Consider the following 19789-nt stretch of genomic DNA (forward strand, 5'->3'; position numbering starts at 1 on the left):
GGCCAGGAACAATGGTAATTGTGGGAGACTTAACAAAGAGTGAGTATAGCTGAAGGAGCCGGGGAGCAGAAAGTATATGCATCAGGTGTGAGGAAGAAAATAGATTTTGGAAGTTATGAGAGATGGAGTGAGTTGAGCATAGTTTGTGATTTTTAGGGCCTCTAAAAGTATTAAGGTGGCAGCAGCCACTGCACGGAGACATGATGGCCAGCCTAAAACAGTAAGGTCAAGTTGTTTGGACAAAGGCTACAGGACGCGATCCCGGTCCTTGTGTAAGAATCCCGACTGCACAGCCCAGCACTTCGGCTGTGTGTAATGAAAAGGGTTGCGATGAGTCAGGGAGAGCTAGGGTGAGGGCAGTCTCTAAAGCTGTCTTCAAGGAACGGAATGAGGCGTGGGGAAAGGATTTAGGATCTATGGGGTCAGCTAGGTTTCCTTTTCTGAGTTTATGTAATGGTTTTGTTAAGATGGCAAAACCAGGTATCCAAAGGCAAAAGTATCCAACCATGCCCAGGAAGGAAAGGAGTTGTTGTTTTGTAGAATGGATTGAGGCTTGGGAGATTAGTGGGACACGATCAGCAGGGAGAGCACATGTGTTTTTGCGAGAATTATGCCGAGATAGGTAACAGGTGAGGAAGAAATTTGGGCTTGACTGAAGTAATGGGGCTATCTGTGAAGCTTTGCGGCAGTACAGCCCAGGTAATTTGCTGACCCTGATGTCAGGGTCAGTCCAAGTGAAAGCGAAGAGAGACTGGGATGAAGGGTGCAAAGGAATAGCAAAGAAAGCATGTTTGAGATCTAGAACAGAATAATGGATTATGGAGGGAAGTATTGAGGATATGAGAGTATATGGGTTTGGCACCACAGGGTGGATAGGCAAAACAATTTGGTTGATAAGGCGCAGATCCTGAACTAACCTGTAAGTCTTGTCTGGTTTTAGGACAGGTAAAATGGGGGAATTGTAAGGAGAGTTTATAGGCTTTAAAAGGCCATGCTGTAACAGGTGAGTGAAAACAGACTTTAATCATTTTAAACTGTGGGATGGGATATTGGCATTGAGCGAGGTAAGGGTGATTAGATTTTAATGAGATGGTAAGGGGTGCATGATCGGTCACCAAGGAGGGAGTAGAGGTATCTTATACTTGTGTGTTAAGGTGGGGGGATACAAGAGGAGGACGCAAAGGAGGCTTTGGATTGGGAAGAAGGGCGGTAATGTGATGCAGCTGTAGTCCAGGAATAGTCAGGGAAGCAGATAATTTAGTTAAAGTGTCTCAGCCTAATAAGGGGACTGGGCAGGTGGGGATAACTAAAAAGGAGTGCTTAAAAGAGTACTGTCTAAGTTGGCACCAGAGTTGGGGAGTTTTAAGAGGTTTAGAAGCCTGGCTGTCAATACCCACAACAGTTACGGAGGCAAGGGAAACAGGCCCTTGAAAAGAAGGTAATGTGGAGTGGGTAGCCTCCATATTGATTAAGAAGGGGATGGACTTACCCTTCACTGTGAGAGTTACCTAAAGCTCAGTGTCCATGATGGTCTACGGGGCTTCTGAGGCGATCGGGCAGCATCAGTCTTCAGCCGCTAAGCCGAGAAGATCTGGGAAGGAGTCAGTCAGAGAGCCCTGGGGCAGAGTTCCAGGGGCTCTGGGAGTGGCTGCCAGGTGAGTTGAACGGTCCGATTTCCAGTGGGGTCCCGCACATATGGGACACTGCTTAGGAGGAATCCCGGGCTGCAGGGGTTCCTTGGCCTGGTGGTCAGATTTCTGGCACTTGTAGCAAGCTCCTGGGGGGAGGTGGTTCTGGAGGAATGCCTGGCCACTGCGGTTTAGGCATTTGGAAGTTCTTGTGCGCTGGAGATGTGGCTGGGGTTTGTCTCACAGTTGAGGCAAAGAATTGCAACTCAGAAATATGTTGTTACTTGGCTGCCTTTACTCTATTATTGTACACTTTGAAGGCGAGGTTAATTAAGTCCTGTTGTGGGGTTTGAGGGCCGGAATTTAATTTTTGGAGTTTTATTTAATGTCAGGAGCAGATTGGGTAATAAAATGTATATTGAGAATAAGACGGCCGTTTGACCTTTTAGGGTCTAGGGCTGTAAAGCGTCTCAGGGTTGCTGCCGAACAAGCCATGAACAGGGCTGGGTTTTTATATTTGATGAAAAAGAGCCTAAACGCTATCTGATTTGGGGTAAAGAAAAAGGAGCATTAACCTTGACTATGCCTTTAGCTCCAGCCACCTTTTTAAGAGTAAATTGCTGGGCAGGTGGGGGAGGGCTAGTCATGGAACGAAACTGTAAGCCGGACCGGGTGTGAGGAGGGGAGGTGATAAAAAGGATTATAGGGTGGAGGAGCAGAGGCTGAGGAAGAATTGGGACTTAGCTCGGCCTGGTGAGGAGGGAAGAGGTCAGATAGGTCTGTAGAAAAGGAAGATTAGAAAGACTCAGTGACGCTTGGGGTTGGGACTGAGGGGGACAGGTGGGAGGGAAAGAAGGAAGATTTGGGACGAGTTGCATTGGGAACAGAGACTACGGAGGGCCCGATGTGTAAAAGAATGCCTGGACGTCAGGCACCTCAAACCATTTGCCCATTTTACGACAAGAATTATTTAGATCTTGTAGGATGGAAAAATTGAAAGTGCTGTTTTCTGGCTATTTGGAACTACTGTCAAGTTTGTATTGGGGTCAAGTGGCATTGCAGAAGAAAATAAGACGCTTAGATTTTAGGTCAGGTGACAGTTGAAGAGGTATTAAGTTCTTAAGAACACAGGCTAAGGGAGAAGAAGGAGGAATGGAAGGTGGAAGCTTGTCCATAGTGAAGGAGGCAAGCCCAGAAAAAACAGAGTAGAGACAGGGAGAAGGGGTGGGGGGTTCTTGTCCTCCAGAAAAGCAGAGAAGGGGTTGGGGCACAGAAATAAGGGATCGGGGCACAGAGATAAGAGGTCCGGGCATGGAAATAAGGGACCAGGGCACAGAGATAAGAGGTTGGGGTTCCTGCCCCTCCCGCAGAAAAGTGGGACTTGCCGCTAAGGGTGAAGGACCCAGGCAGGCATCCCTGCATGGTCTGACACCTCTGAAACCTGGGTGAATAATCAGAGAGGTGTCCCTGCAATGATTAAACACCAAGGGAAGGCTGCCTTCCCTAGTCCGTGACCAGCGCCGGAGTTTTGGGTCCACGGATAAAACGTGTCTCCTTTGTCTCTACCAGAAAATGAAAGGAATTGAAATTAAGAGAAGGGAGAGATTGAAGTGTGGCGACAAGATTGAAAGGAGAAAGAGGTTGAGGGATAGTGAGGGAGGTTGGAGAAGAGAGTAAAAAGAGGCTGCTTACTGGATTTGAAATTGGTGAAACGTTTCTTGGGCTGGTCGGTCTGAGGACCTGAGGTCGTAGGTGGATCTTTCTCTTGGAGCAAAGAGCAGGAGGACAGGGGATTGATCTCCCAAGGGAGGTCCCTGGATCTGAGTCACGGCACCAAATTTCACTCGTGTCCATGTGAAGAGACCACCCAACAGGCTTTGTGTGAGCAATAAAGCTGTTTATTTCACCTGGGTGCAGGCGGGCTGAATCCAAAAAGAGAGTCAGTGAAGGGAGATAGGGGCGGGGCCGTTTTATAGGATTTGGGTAGGTAAAGGAAAAAGGGGGGTTGTTCTCTGGCGGGCAGGAGTGGGGGTCACAAGGTGCTCAGTAGGGGAGATTTTGAGCCAGGATGAGCCAGGAGAAGGAATTTCACAAGATAATGTCATCAGTTAAGGCAGGAACAGGCCATTTTCACTTCTTTTGTGGTGGAATGTCATCAGTTAAGGCAAGGACTGGCCATTTACACTTCTTTTGTGGTGGAATGTCATCAGTTAAGGTGGGGCAGGGCATTTTCACTTCTTTTGTGATTCTTCAGTTACTTCAGGCCATCTGGGCATATACGTGCAAGTCACAGGGGGTGCGATGGCTTGGCTTGGGCTCAGAGGCCTGACAAATATGAATTTATATATGACATTGTATTAATTTTTGACATTCTTACAATATTAATGGTTTTAATTAACTCTAATAGGAAATACTTAGATAAATCTAGTAAACTATACACCTTTCTAAAAATAATTATCGCTATTTCATAAATTAGTTTATTCTTACTATTTGGAAACACCAACACTACCTACAGCGCCCATCACACAAACAGCATTTTTTTAAAAAACAATCTGACTCTTTTATTCAACTATTATTTAAAGCTTGTAGGAGCACTAAACAAATGATTCAGTATAATACTCTAGTTTAGGATGCTGGTAAAAATAGTACATCCCCTTTTAAACACTTTAATAAATATGGGTTCTGAAATGCAGTTAAATTGATGGCTCTTCTGCTCATGTTGGATCCTCTGGTTTTGTAATTTCATGATGTGGATTTACAAACTATGTCATTCGCATCACACCTCAATTCTTCATTTAAATCTCTTTTAAGAGCTAAGACCCAGATTCCTCTTTGCCTACTCACAACACTTCATTCCTTCCTCAAAATTCCTTTGCAATGCAGTATATTAGAAATGGGTAATAGCTTCAAAAGCCTCTTTACCTAGTATTCTCTGCTTATTTTACTTCCATTGCCTCAGACACCACCATTTTTCCTTAGGATGAGAATGTAAACTGGTTAGTCTGAATCTGTTTTATTTTTCATGTGTAAAGTTTGAGACAAAACAAATCTGTAACCAGTGAGACATCTGGTCCTCACCATCTCATTAATTTACTTATTTGTTCATTCAGGGTATACAGTATAGTGATTTCAGAATTGTCAACATTTACCTCTTTGGGAAACAAAGTTATCAACTAAAGTACAGTACTTATCTGTGGTTGTTTTATTCTTGAAGACGTAATTTATTCCCAAAACCACTTAAGTCAGGACCTTTCTCCCCCCATTGAGGTTATTACATACATATGTAATATAGATAGATAGATAGATAGATAGATAGATAGATGATAGATAGACATTAAGTTGGTACAAAAGTAATTGCAGTTTTTGCCATTAATTTGAACAGATATAGCAGTATATATATTTGTCAAATTTCATTTTGGGAAGCTCCAATCTCCACAGTGGTTCTTTTTTTAAACTTACATATTTAATACATTAAGTTTCATTCTTTTTGCTGTAAAGTTCTATGGATTTTCAAGATGTACACTGTCAGATATCCACTATAATAGTATTATTCAGACAAGATTTACCACCTTAAAATATCTTCTGGGCCAGGCGCGGTGGCTCATGCCTGTAATCCCAGCACTTTGGGAGGCCAAAGCGGGAGGATCAAGAGGTCAGGAGATCGAGACCATCCTGGCTAACACCGTGAAACCCCGTCTCTACTAAAAATACAAAAAATTAGCTGGGTGTGGTGGCGGGTGCCTGTAGTCCCAGCTACTCAGGAGGCTGAGGCAGGAGAACGGTGTGAACCCAGGAGGCAGAGCTTGCAGTGAGCCGAGATCATGCCACTGCACTCCAGTCTGGGCGACAGAGTAAGACTCTATCTCAAAAAAAAAAAAAAAAAAAAAAAAATCTGTACTTTCACATATTCAACCCTCCCCTTTGAACCCATAGTATTGACTGGCCTCTTTACCACCTATATATTTTTGCCTTTTCCAGAATGTCATATAAATGGAATCATACAGTAGTCCTCTGTGACTGGTGTCGTGCATTTGATATTATGTATTTATAATTCTTTTATGTATTTGCAATGCTGGTAGTTCATTCCTTTTCATCCTAAATAGTATTCAATTGTATGGATGTCTCAGAGTTTGTTTATCTATTCACCTGTTGATGAATTTCTTAACTGTTTCAGGATTTTGGTGATTATTAACAAAGTTGCCATAACATTCAAATGCAAGTTCATGTGTGGATATACATTTTCAAATCAGTTGGGTAAACACCTAGGAGCAGGATTGGTAGAACAAATGGTATGGTGCTGGTTAGTTTTGTAATAAACTCTTCCCCTGCCAGAGTCATGAAGGGATCTTTCTTGTTAGAAACTCTTGGGTTTCTGCAGATAAGACCCATGCAAGTGTAAGAGTTCCACCTCTGGGAATTTTTTACTCTCATACTGGTCCATGCTCAGCCTCCAGTAGTTTGTCAACACTTGCCATTTAAATTTTCCTACCAGTTTGCAACTCCAGCAACTTCTGCTCCAGGGAAGTCAATTGTGACTCCATCTCTCTAAATGTTCCTGTCTTTCCAGATTTCTGGGTGGTTGTTTGCACTGGGTCAAAGAAAAGTAAATAATTTTCAGTTTGTCCAGTTTCTTTTTTCTTGATGTATGCACAAAAATGAAAGTAATTTATTTTTGGTTTGTCCAGTTTTTTTTCTCGATGTGTGCACAAAATGACAGCTTGCAAGTTCTTTACAAGTTAGAAGAAATACCAGAATTTATTTTTTATTGAACATTTTTTACAATTTTTCTTCTTACTGTGTTTTCTTTCCGTTTTCAAAATTTCAGTTCATCAGATACAGCAGATTACGGTGTCATTCTCTCTCCTTTTATTTTTTTGTTCCACTTTTTGTTATACTTCCTGGGAGAGTCCTCACATTTATTTCCAAAATAAAACTAAACATATTTTTTAAAAAGAGACGAGTTTTTAATTTTCATAAACCTTCTTGTTTTCTAATTTTCTTCTTTATTATATCCTCTTTTGATTATGGTTGTATAATTTATTTTTATAACTCCCTACAATATAAATTATAGGTTATAGAATCTGTCTTTTGCTCTCTGTTCTACATCTGTTCTCCCCTGCACTGAATTCTGATTTTATTTTCATTTGTCTCATTTTATTTCATGTCTAATTTTCTTTGATATCTGTTCAAAATTATAAGTAAAGCTTTAAAAATATGATTGATTCTTCCATTTGTGTGAGTGGTGCTTCAGTTTGATCAGTTTGAAGGAATCTCTATCTGCCTGTATGTGGAGCATATGGGGTTAATTTACCTGGGGTGGAGATAATATTCAAGATGAAAGAGATGTTAGAACAGGAATGTTAGGGCTAGCCTTTCTGGAAAGAAACAGAGAAGGCTGCTGAAAAGTTCTTCATTTAGAAAATAGGCTTTCATTGAATCTCCTTTCTTAAGTTGTATGCCTCACTCTGCTATCTTCCTTTGTGGTCTTAAATTCAGAGTTTTCTTGTTTGTTTATTCTGGAAACCAAACCCTTTTTCATTTCAGCCATTCAAAATTTGATTAAAATTTGTTATTCTGTCTTTTCCTTGGGGTAAATCTTTTTTTTTCCTTCTATAACTAAATTTTAGTTAGTATTTATTAGACAGAAGACAAACACATGTTGTTAATTTGTTTGCCACACTCAATATTTTGATCTTTTATTGATAAATATTTATGGATAATGTCTTATATTGTTTTCCTACATGGATGTAATAATTCCTGCACTTGGCAAGTTATTAATAATAGCTTGGTAAATAATGTGATTCTTGAAAAATAAAATCAGAAATTAAAAAGTTTCAGTTTCTATAGGATATAAAATTTAAGTATACATATTATAAGTAACTCTGCATTTGACTGGTATTACATATATAAGTAACTGCAATTGAATGGTATTACATATATTACATATATATATACACACACATATATATATGCAAAGTTATTTATTTTTTAATCCATTTTTCCCATAGCTTTAGGTTTACCACTTCTAAAGAAGTATGAAGTTGTATTCTCAATTCATTCGGATAGTCTTTCAATTTTAATAGAAAAATATAAGCCATTTATAATGATTGTCATAAATATTATTTTGGTTGTCAACCCCTACTTTACATTTTGTATTTTTAACTCTTTTAATTAACATGAAGTATATATTACAGATTCTTGAAATAGTTTAAAGGCATAAATACCATCTATTTATTTATTGTTACTATTAATTGCCTTTAAGTTAAAAAATACATTAAATAAGTATCAGGAATAAAAAAGTGTTTATTTCATATTTCACATGTAAGATATGGTAAAGATTATAAATTGATATGCTTCTGCTTCTTTTTTCCCACAGGTTTTTTTTTGTTTTATATGTGTACTTGCAAATTTTAGACCCAGATTAGAAACATCATCTTTAATGTTACATGCTTTGATTTTATAAATTATTTTGATGTTTGTATTTTTAATGTTTATAACAATTTCTGGACATTTTTAAAGCATTTTGACTGTTAAATATGTCTTTTTTAAATTCTCTAACATTCAATTTTTTATAAGTTAAATTTTTTATCTGTATGTAATCATTGTACATATTTTGGGGGCACATGTGATATTTTGATACATGCATTGACATCGTTATTTCTTGAGTTAATCATTTTGCTTTATGTATTTATTGGTCAGCTAAATTATTGCTTAGTTCCTTATATCTCCAGAAAGGGTAAGCTTGTGATATACTTCTGTTCATAAATCTTAGGATATCTGAATATTTTTTCATAACTGAATTACCACCTAGTTAAATCCATTGCTATTGTTCCCAAAGCTTTATAGCTACCCCTTCAATATTTATTATCGTGGAGGAATCTGAGGCTAGTTTGACGTCCATCTTGTCTTTATACCAAGAAAAATCATCTTTGGTCTTTTCTGTCTATACCAAGAGTAATATTGAATGTTGAGTTTTATACCAATGATTACATTGCCTGCTTTATTGCTTCTGTGAATTATTGCTTCTGGGCAAATATAACTTTGTGATTTTAATTTTATAACAACCTATTCTTATCCAGTCAACTGTTAAAAATCATCTCAGTTCATTATAACTTCATAACATTTTGACTGTCTTGTTTTGTCATTCATATTTTTAAATTTCCTAAGAACACAAGGTAAATTTATTTATAAAATTTAACTTTCTTTTCAATAGTAAATCTTTATCAAAAATATATTTTGTCTGTGCACCTTTAAAGGACTATTATATAGTCAATTACATTGTAATCTATTTAATGGGCCCACGTAAGAGTTGCTTATGAACTGCTCATTGAATAAGTGGCAGTCTAAACAGTCTTTGGTGATTATTTACCCCTCGTTCTCACTAACTAATGATAAAGCTGCTGTTCATATCCTCCTTTCAGAACTAGGTTTCAGTGTTTAATGACACAAAAACTTCTTTTAAAAATTATGATGTCAAGTAGTTATTTATCTAATGGGCCTTTACTAAACTGAGAACAAATGGATTGCTTTCTTTCTCTAATAATCTGATATATCATGGAATATTTTTCTTCAGATGTACCTGAGATCTTTTTTTAATCAGCTTCCAGCTGCCTATAAATTCTATAATAGTCAAGGCAAGAGTAAAATGATCAACTCTTTCACCATCAACAAATGGCAGTAGCAAGTATTGTGTTTTATAAGTTTAATAAGTATACTTATAAAAATAATTCAGAACTTTATAATTCTCAACAATAATATTTATGAAAATGTTTTAGTACTTGATTTGTTTATAGGTTGAAACATTTCCAAAGTCTGTAGATTTTAGCATAGCAGGAAAATGAAATAAGTATAAAATTGTTAAAATTAACTGCTTCCAAGACTTCCCCGTATTTTCAAGTATCTAGTTTATTTCCAGTTATTCAATGTACCAATAACTATCAAATTCAAACCACAGTCACAGTATAATTTTGAAAATTATAAAGTTCCAAATAACTATGAAATACAAAAATCTTAATGATGGAATTAAAATGAAAATAAATTGCCCTGATCACCTCTGGCAGAGTTCTTCATGCATTTCTGACATTTGTTTTCCTTCCCTTAAATAATGAATAGTCTAGGTCTTTAAAGTAGGAGTGCTCACTAAGAATGGGTGAAAATCCCATTTGCTTTCTAATTGGCCTCTGTGTTTTACAATAGAATTTAATTTGCTCTTTTATTAATAGTAATTCCTTTTGATGTCTAACAGAGTGGTGCTTAATATTTTTAATTTCTCCATACAATTTTACATTTTATCTATTTTTCTACCGGTCATTTGATGAGAAGTTGGGGGATGTCATATTGGTTAATGCTGGCTAGCTACCACCTTAACGTTAAAGTTTGAAGAAAACTTTAAATGGTAATACATGGTTCTAAACCCATTGAAGTTTACAAGTAATTTGGATATACAAAATATCAATAATACTCTTGCCAGATGGCTGATAAATTATTACAGTAAGGCAATGACTATACAAGAAAAGTGAGATTTGTTTTCCTGAATGTACCTTTGCTCTTCTTCATTTAATACGTGCATTTCGTTATGACTAGAACTTTTAGTTTTCCTGAAAATTTTCTAGACGTAAAGATTTTAGCTGCTCTAAATATGAAGGTGGAGGAATGATTCTTACTGCTTGTTTTGCTTCAAAGAAACTGCCAGTTCTGTGACAACTAACACACATTCAGTGCCTCTGTTTGATACTCATTTATATTGTTGCTCCTTAACCTGAACATGCATTCACTTGCCCTGCAGAAATGCCTGAATGTTCATAAATTGCCTTACTTTTTATCTCCATCTTTCTGTACAACAGAGAAATCTGGATGAGTTGGAAAGACCAGGATACCAAAGGAATTATGATGATTTGGTTTTATAATAGCCAGAGGCATATAGGCCACAAATGGGAAAATGGCATGGGTACAGGAGCGATGAGGTAAGAATCAGGGCAAACAAAGCCCTAGCATATTAGATCTGTGGTGTTAGTTCTAAGAATCAGCAGAGGCAAGTTGTTCCCTTTAGTCTTTCACTTAACTATTTATTTTTTCAATCCACCAAGAGATGGATTCTGAGCATTACCCTGGACATCCTTAATCTGGAGTCCCTGCATTGATGCTGACCCTGGGCCTTCTGCTCGCTTGGGTTATCTGCTACTTTTGCACCTAGAATGAGTCAAGCCTACATCAAGACGAGGTGTTCTGGCTCCTGGTAAATTATTTATAGCTCTCAGAGTTCCTGGGTACCCTTGTAGAGGTCCCTCTGAAGAACACAATGGAAGTGTAGTTTAGGGGAGATGCATGGTGAAATCAGGACCGTTTCTTCCAGTGCTTACTAATAATTTGTCAGGACTATTGGAGAGACAATAATGGAGAAATTTCTCCAAATGATCATGTCAAAAACTTAATGAAACTGTTTCGAGATGAATGGCAACTAACAAAATGTGCCCAGGACTCAAAGCATCGGAATGCTGTTCTCTATTTGTAAAATCCCATATTTTTGTAGTTGAAACACGTTTCTTCTTTTCTAACCTTTAAAACAGACGCTTGATCAAGGGAATAGATCTTTATTTTGCTAATAATCAGTTGACAACATGTTACTTTGGAGAGATTATCACTTTTTGCCAAAGTCTACACCATCTGTTCCACACTCTAATTACCAATAAAAGAAAGGACCTAATTCACAATTGCATGATAAAAAAGTTAAATGTGATTTAAATGTATTTGTTTGTTTTTTATTTAAAGAAGTTTCAATGACGCATCTGTTACTCATTTTTCAATATTTTGACACAGATCATAAGAAAATACTGGAATAAGGATATAGCAAACAAATATGCAAACTTTCTAGAGGGACAATTTCTATCAGTATATAGACCCTAAAACCTGCATTATTAATTAGCCATTAAGCTAGTGATTGAATAAATGAGTTTATTATAGAATGATTGGGTTTTTAAAAATAGTATTTAGTTTTAAAAATTCACATCGCCTGGGAAATTATATTGGTAAATTTATAAACTACTATATCTAAACAAGAATCAATCACTTTAAATCAGCAAAAACAATGTATATGCAGCCTATTAGTTTCTGTTAAGTCAGTATGATTGGAGGTGGGAAATGGTTGGGAACTTCCACAGGGATTCTCGGCCAAAAAAAAAAAAGTGACATATAATTGGAAGATGAGAGAGAAATATCAATATATGTCTTCCTTTCTTGAATATACTGATATTACTAGCTGAACAATACTATCAAAATGCACATTTGTAAAATGAAACTGGAAGTTGGGTTATTTTTACCTACCCAGCACCAATACTATCAGTGTTTTGTTTTCCCTCTTGTGGAACTGCTTTTTCCTCTACGGTCTATGGCTTTTTTTATGGGATTGGTGGCCATACCTATCAAAATGTTCAGTCTGCTCACAATTAACTAGATATGCTATTAAAATTAGATAAATGGCAGCAGACCCTGAACCTTCTTCTAGAAACATTGGGAAAAAGAACCTCTCCCTACTGGTTTTGCTTATCTGTGAATATGTGAGTTTGGAGCCTTCTGGGGCCATCTTTGTATGATGAGGAAAACAGAGTCAAGTGGTCAAGAAAATCAAATTTCTGATGCCATTTAAACTTTTGGACTAAACTGTGCTTGAGACTAAATTTCCCCTGGACTTATTAATTATATAATTCAGTGGTTTTATTAATTATGCCGATTTTATTTTAGTCCTTTATCTTCCAACTGAATGAGTTTTTGTTAATCTTAAATTTAGTGAGAACACATCAATTCAGTATTCAAGTGTTTTTCAGATGTTCATATAAAAAATATATACTGACAGCCCTGTATCCACCATCAATTTTATGACATTTGCATCAAATATATTTTAAAACACAAACAGAAACTAAATATTACAGGTAAAAATTGAACTCCCCCTCTCCAATATCACTTCTACTTCTACCCAAAAGTCATCATCCCCACTAGAACCTCATGTTAATTATTAATAATTAATTAAACTAGTGTTAATAATTAAACTAGTGTTAATTATTTCCATGTATGGTTTTATACTTTAATCACAAATCTAATAACATTTCATATGTGCATTATTTATATAATTAAACTCTATTAAATTGCATCATTTTTGTTTTGGTCCTTCTACAATTTAGCTTTTGAACATTTTTTGCTCTTCATCATTTTGGAAACTTGCCTACATCTTAGTTTATTTCTTTTAAATTGCCATACAGGTGTCCATTTTCTACATATACCACAAAGTAACCGTCTTCTTGTAGATGGACATTTGGATGATTTCTAACTTTTCACTACAATAACACAAGTGCATTGTAATTCTTGAATCTGTAAATTGGACATATGTATATTCAGAAATAACATATCAGACATAGCTAAAATACTCCTAATTTTTTTAGACAATTATTTTGGAAGTTTATGAGTTATCTAATGAACAGATTGTTTTTGTTCTTACTTTTTAAAAACTGTTGCTTGTAATTGCACTTTTCAAAGAATAAATGTCAAGATTCAGATTTATATTAGAACTCTCCTAGCTTTTTCTTCTTAAAATTGAGTTAAAATATAACTTTCATTAAAATTAATTTTGTTGAATACTCCCCAAGTGAAAACTAAATCTAGAAGTATCATTAAAATCATGGGATGAGTAGACACATATATAATTGGAAATCCTGATATGAAGAGCTTATAATTTTATGACTTAAGAACATATAATTTTATGAAAAGTTTTATAAATCTTATTAAAATTCATATGATTATGATATAAAGAAAAATACAGGCAGCTCCCATTGTGTAAATAATGCACATTTAAAAATTCAAGGCCAAAGAGAAGAAAATGATGTGTGATTATTGGAAAGTTTACGAAAGAGCACAGGACCAGAACCAGATATTTGGCTGCTGCTCTTCCCTCTTTCATGGACAAGCTAAATGTTCAAGGACAAGTAAGTTCATGACATAAAGAAATTTTTCAAAATTAAAAAAAATTAGACATTTAAAAATGTTTGTGATTGGAATTCAGGGTTAACTTCTTTAGATCTAGAATTCTTCATCTGTAAAATGAAATTGATACCTTAGGTGACATTTTTTCTGAGTGTAGGATCCCAAGTGAACGTTACTAAAGCCAAAGAGGTTACTCTACAAAGACCCTAAAAGAGTAGAAGGAAAATATTAGAATATGATTAGGGGAATGGTTTGGCAATTCATTACAGTAGAAGAGGTTTAATGCACTCAGAAAATTCAGTAGTTTATGGCTGAAATTTTACCAAGAAAAGAAGCAAAGAAGATAGATTTTAGGAAGAAATGCTCACCTACTTGAGCCTCCCTATTTTCCTGGATCCTGGCTCAGTAATTCTCACTACAGTGTTAGTTTTCTTCTGCTTTGAAGAAGTGCTAGCAGATTCAGTGTCAGCTAGCACTTAAGAAGGATCATCTTTCTGGCTTGTAGATGATCACCTTATTGCTATATCCTCACATGGCAGAGAAAGAAGTCTCCGGTCTCTCTGTTTTTATAAGGGCACTAATCACATCAGGAGGGCTCCACTCTCATGAGCTCATCTAAACCTAATTACCGTCAAAGTCCTCATCTTCAAACACTATCACATCAGGTATTAAAGCAATTCAGCAAAGGAATTGGGGGGACCGCAAATATTCAGTCCATAGCATTGCAGACATTTATATATATTGACTGACATTTATATTTATTGAAACAGCTGGCTTCCTTGGCCTGACCTGGGAAAACCCAAGAAGCCATTATAGCACCTTACCTCCTTAGGGGTCAGCTAAAGCAGGATTTGGGTCTGCATCACAGCTCAACTTCTCCCTCAACTGGGTATTCTTGCATTGTTTTCCTTCATTCCACAGACATTGACCACAAGAGTATGCCTTAATAAGTGTCCTGTGTGCTAAACTCCATCTCAATGTCTGATACCTGAGGAACCAAACTTCTGACAAGGGAAATTAAAGGAAAGAGATATTGAGGAACTTACAGCTTCAAACTACTGAGAAACATCATGCCTCATATACAAGAAGCTCACCATAGCCATGAGAATAAGTAAAATGAAGTTATATCCAGGCATATCACAGGAAAATTAATGAGAATTAAGAACAAAGAGAAGCCTTAAAACTAGCCAGAGAAAAAGGAAGGCTAATTTTAAGGAATAATAGTTAGACAGTTAACTCCACATTAGAAATAGTGTACACCCAGGAAAATGGAGTGATAACAATCAAGAATAAAGAAGATATAAGGATTTTTGTTAGCAAAACAAACAGGAAGAAAAAATAAAGAAACAAAAATCAAATAGAAAAAAACTGAGAGATCATTGGGTCAGAAACCAATGATAAACCTCTGCATATTGTATAAATTAACTAGATTACTTTTACATAATTTATGGATTAGGGAAAAGAAGAAACCATAATAAAGATTAGAAAATATTTAAACTGAAAATGATAAAAAATATTTTACATCAAAACTTCTAGGTATCGGTAAAGCCATGCTTTAAGAATAATCCATAATTATAAAACCTGATGCAAAGAAAGCACCAGGCCAAGATGGATTCATCAATGAATTCTATCAGATATTTAAGGAAGAAATTAAAATAAGTTAACATGAACTCTTCCAGAAAATTGGAAAAGAGGGAACAGTGTTCAACTATTTCTTTAAGTCAACATTGCCTATGCCGAAAATTGAAAAGAATAATACAAGGAGGTTAAATTACAAGCCAAAGTCATGAAAAAACTAGATACAAAAATTCTAAATAAAAACATTAAGAAAGCACATTCACCAGTATATGAATGGGATAAAATATAGAAAAGTTGGGCTGATTGTAGGAATATACAGTTGTCTTAATATTTTGTGAAACCAAATTTACATCTTAGCAAAATGAAGAAAAACTATTAGAAGATACCAGTAGAAGCATTTTGTTATCCATTCTCAGGGAAAAAATCCTTAGCAGAATAAACGCAGAAGGAAAGAACTTTGCCTTTAGTTTTGAAATGAGACAAAGATACCTGCTAGTACCAATAATTTATAATATTTGACTACTTGCCTTTAGAGGAGTGCAATATACAGAAATAAATATTATAAGGATTTTCAGGCAAGAAATAAATGTCAGTATTTTTAGAGAATATAATTATGTTCATAAAACTTTTTAAATAAAATGAAAATCAGTTAATAAGATTATAGTGATTCTGAAAACAGTTGCTAGGTACCAATCAACATATAAAACTCATCTATAGCCTGCAAATCATCAACAAACATAAAGTAAATATATGTACCATCTAAAATGACTCCACAAAAATAAGATATATGTGAATAAATCTAATAAATAATAACTAGGACATTTTCTAAAAAACTGTGAACCATTACTAAAAGAAATGTTAAATAACAAAGTAAATGAAGGGAGATTTCTTGTACATAAACTAGAAAATAATATCATAAAGACGTTGATTTCCAAAGATTGAATCATAGACACCATGATATAATCCCAACAAAAATCACTACAGGTTTTATATGCAGGTATGTGTGTAACTTGAAAGGTAATACAATATATGCAGAAACTCAAAGGGCCAAATATGTGAAGACACTCTTGAAGAAGAAAAAGGATTAATTATATAATATTGATAAATACTGTAGCAGAATAAAGAACTCTGAAAGAGTCTTGCAAACATATGGAAACTTATTTATGACAAGGGAGTTATTGCAGACTAAACAGCACGAGTAATACCATCTATACGTAGTGCTGGCAATTTGATATTTCTATAAAAAAGAATTTTGATCTTTATTGGATACCAAATAGAAGATCATATCAAGTTGGGGGAGGAAGCTGATCTAAATGCAAAAGCAAAGCTACAAAGATTCTATAACATAACATTGGAGATTATTTTTCTGACCTCTAAGTCATGGAATGACTTCTTAAAGTAAAATTTAGAAAACTCTTGCCAGAAATAAAAAAAAGTGGATGAATAAAAATTGAAATTAAGTATGTATTTGCTTTATAAAAATCTATTGAAGAAATGGGGTAATAAGCCAAGAAATGGAAAAACATATTTACAACACATGCATCCATGATATCACTACTACTTTTCTATTACAAAGAACAGAAAAATTGGTAACTGAAGTAATGATTTTTGTTTTATGTTTGTTTGTTTTTTGAGACAGAGGAGTTTAGCTCCTGTCATCCAGTGCAATGGCGCAATCTGGGCTCGCTGCAACCTCTGCCTCCTGAGTTCAAGCAATTCTCCTGCCTCAGCCTCCTAAGTAGCTTGGATTACAGGCAGCTGCCACCATGCCCAGCTAATTTTTGCATTTTTAGTAGAGACGGAGTTTCACCATGTTGGCCAGGCTGGTCTCAAAAAGAAAAGATATCAAAATGTTCAATAAACATATGAAAAGTAGTTCAAAATCATTAGTACAAAGGAAAATGAAAGTTAAAACTTTAATGAGGTAACCTCTATAACACTCACCAGAATGAATGCAATTTAAAAATTCTGAGGAATGTCAAGTGGTGATGAGAATGTATAGCATTGGGAGCTCACATAAACTACTAGTATGTGAGAAAAATTGAGAACTATATACTGCAGTTGAAGCTGCACAGATTTTAAGAACCAAAATCATACACCTAGATATATACCCAACAGTAATTCATGCACATGTGCACTAAGAGATGTGTAACAGAATGTCCCATAACAGCAATACAGGCATAAATTGAATTTTCAATTGACACTAAATGAATAAACAGATTGTGTTTCTTTGTAGAAGTAAAAAAATATTCAGCAGTGAAAGTGAATAATCAAGTATTGCTACAGGAAATAACACAGTTAAATCTCATAAAGCCAATGTTGAACCAAAAAAGCCAGACCAAAAAGACAAATGCTTATATGATTCTAAATATTTAAAGTTCAAAATAAGGAGAAACACAAGTATAGTATTCTTACTACACTATAGTGTAGTAGTTTTGATACCCTATATAGTATTTATATATAGTATTTATATGCACATTTAGTTGGTGTCTAAAGAACAAACTTCCTTTATAAAGAAAAGCCAGGAAGCATCTCCACAGAAGCAAAGATATTGGTTAACTTTGGATGGGAAGGAAGTGGTAAGTGGTTTGGATAGAACAAGATGAAAGTGGATTTTGGAGGGGTGCTGTTTACTATTTTTTGTCTTGGTATGAATAATGATTACTTGGAATTCATTTTGTGATAATGCATTGAATAAAAATACATTTAACAAAAAATACACAAGCTTAAGCCTTAATTCTTGCCAAAATATCCTTTAGGTAATTCACGCTATAGGGTGCCATGAGGCTGGGAATAGAATGAGTATTTCAGATTAGAGCACCTCATGATCTAAAACAAGTTAGTAATGTTTAAATTTGGATACACAGGTATGATTGAAGTGATAGTCTGAATGTTCCTCTCATTTACAACTTGTTAATGACCTGTTGAGAAGCAGCCTGAGGCTATCTTTCACTTTTACTAAGTCAGTCATTAAGAGAGGAAACTGTAAATGACCAGCAGGAAGTAAATTGCCCTCAGTTAAAAATGAAAATGTGTTAACTTCACTTGACTAATAAAATTACTTTTGGCATTAGGCCATAAAATAGAAAACAGCTACAATTCCTACTGGGAAATCTGAAAAAGGAAAAAATATATTATGTACTTTGATGCTTCTGGATTGGGAATATCTAAATTTTGTCTAAAATAATTATATTTCAAAGGGCTAGGAAGTCTTTTATCATTGGCAGATAATAAATATTTTTGAAAAACACAGGAGCTGTAGTAATAGTAAAATAGTACTAATATTTTGAACTCTTTTGGTTAAGCAAATGTTAAAGTAATAAAATTAAATTTTATTCAGGAAAATGAAATTGTGCCTTAATTTATTGGCATCTATTCTTGGGGTTTTTTTTTTTTTTTCCGTTATTTTGTTGTTTGTTTGTTTTTGTTTTTGTCTGGAGACAGGGTCTCTCTCTGTTGCTCAGGCTGGAGTAAAGTGGCGGCAATCATAGCTCACTGGGCCATTTCCTGAGCTCAAGTGATTCTGCTGCCTTAGCCTCCCAAGTAGCTGGGGCCATAGGCACATACCACCATGTCCAGCAAATGTTTTAAATTTTTTTTGTAGAGGTGGGGGTCTTGTTTTATTGCAAGAGCCATCAGTCAGGTTGGTCTTGCACTCCTGGCTATAAGCAATCCTCCTACCTTGATCTCCTAAAGTGCTGAGATTACAGGTATGAGCCACTGTGCCAGCCAGCAACTATTCTTAAGTCAAGGTACTAATATTAAATGTTGTGTTTTCAAATGCACCCATTACAATTATATGCACTACAAATTGATGCAAATGTGCCAGAACTCTTCTTGAACTTTCCTATTTGCTTATCTGCCTTTGAGCCCTGTGTTTCCTCTGTTGGAAAGACACATCCCTCCCTCTCATTTTTCTGCTTTGGTGCATATACCATGGAGTGACCTAGCTCTAATGCCATCTATTCCAGGAATCTTCCATCTCCTTCATTCCTGGATCTCCTCATTTACACTTTTAGCACATAAAGTGTCACAATAGACTAAATTCTTTATTTGTCTATATGTGTTTATATGGCACTAAGTTGTAAAATTATTTAAGGACAGGGACATGTCTTATTTGCCCTTGTATGTTCCTTGGATACTAAGCTGGCTTCTTAGAAGCTTGGGGGATATTTCTTTCTTTCTTTTTTTTTCTTTTTTGAGATGGAGTCTCGCTCTGTGGCCCAGGATGGAGTGCAGTGGCGCGATCTCGGCTCACTACAAGCTCCGCCCCCCTGGGTTCAGGCCATTCTCCTGCCTCAGCCTCCCGAGTAGCTGGGACTACAGGCACCCGCCACCACACCCGGCTAATTTTTTGTATTTTTAGTAGAGACGGGGTTTCACCGTGTTAGCCAGGATGGTCTCGATCTGACCTCGTGATCCGCCCGCCTCGGCCTCCCAAAGTGCTGGGATTACAGGCGTGAGCCACTGCGCCCTGCCGGATATTTCTTTAATTTAATTTAAGATAAAGAAAGACTAAAGACAAGATAGATTGTAAGTTTCATGTTTTCTCCTCTCATGACGAAATTATTTTCAGTTCATGTAGGAGTGCATCCCTATTTAGTGACAAAGTT

General features: G+C 35.8%; 2 annotated features.

The window, feature by feature from the left end:
- Window positions 3309–4090: an enhancer, noted in NCBI's record as "OCT4-NANOG-H3K27ac-H3K4me1 hESC enhancer chr7:109237086-109237867 (GRCh37/hg19 assembly coordinates)". NCBI's record gives its function as "activates a minimal SCP1, AML or CMV promoter by ChIP-STARR-seq in naive and primed H9 embryonic stem cells {active_cell/tissue: H9 hESC(naive and primed)}" and the evidence as "EXISTENCE:reporter gene assay evidence [ECO:0000049][PMID:30033119]".
- Window positions 17805–18380: an enhancer, noted in NCBI's record as "NANOG hESC enhancer chr7:109251582-109252157 (GRCh37/hg19 assembly coordinates)". NCBI's record gives its function as "activates a minimal SCP1, AML or CMV promoter by ChIP-STARR-seq in primed H9 embryonic stem cells {active_cell/tissue: H9 hESC(primed)}" and the evidence as "EXISTENCE:reporter gene assay evidence [ECO:0000049][PMID:30033119]".

The sequence above is a fragment of the Homo sapiens genome, chromosome 7, assembly GCF_000001405.40.
Source record: "Homo sapiens chromosome 7, GRCh38.p14 Primary Assembly".
NCBI lineage: Eukaryota > Metazoa > Chordata > Mammalia > Primates > Hominidae > Homo > Homo sapiens.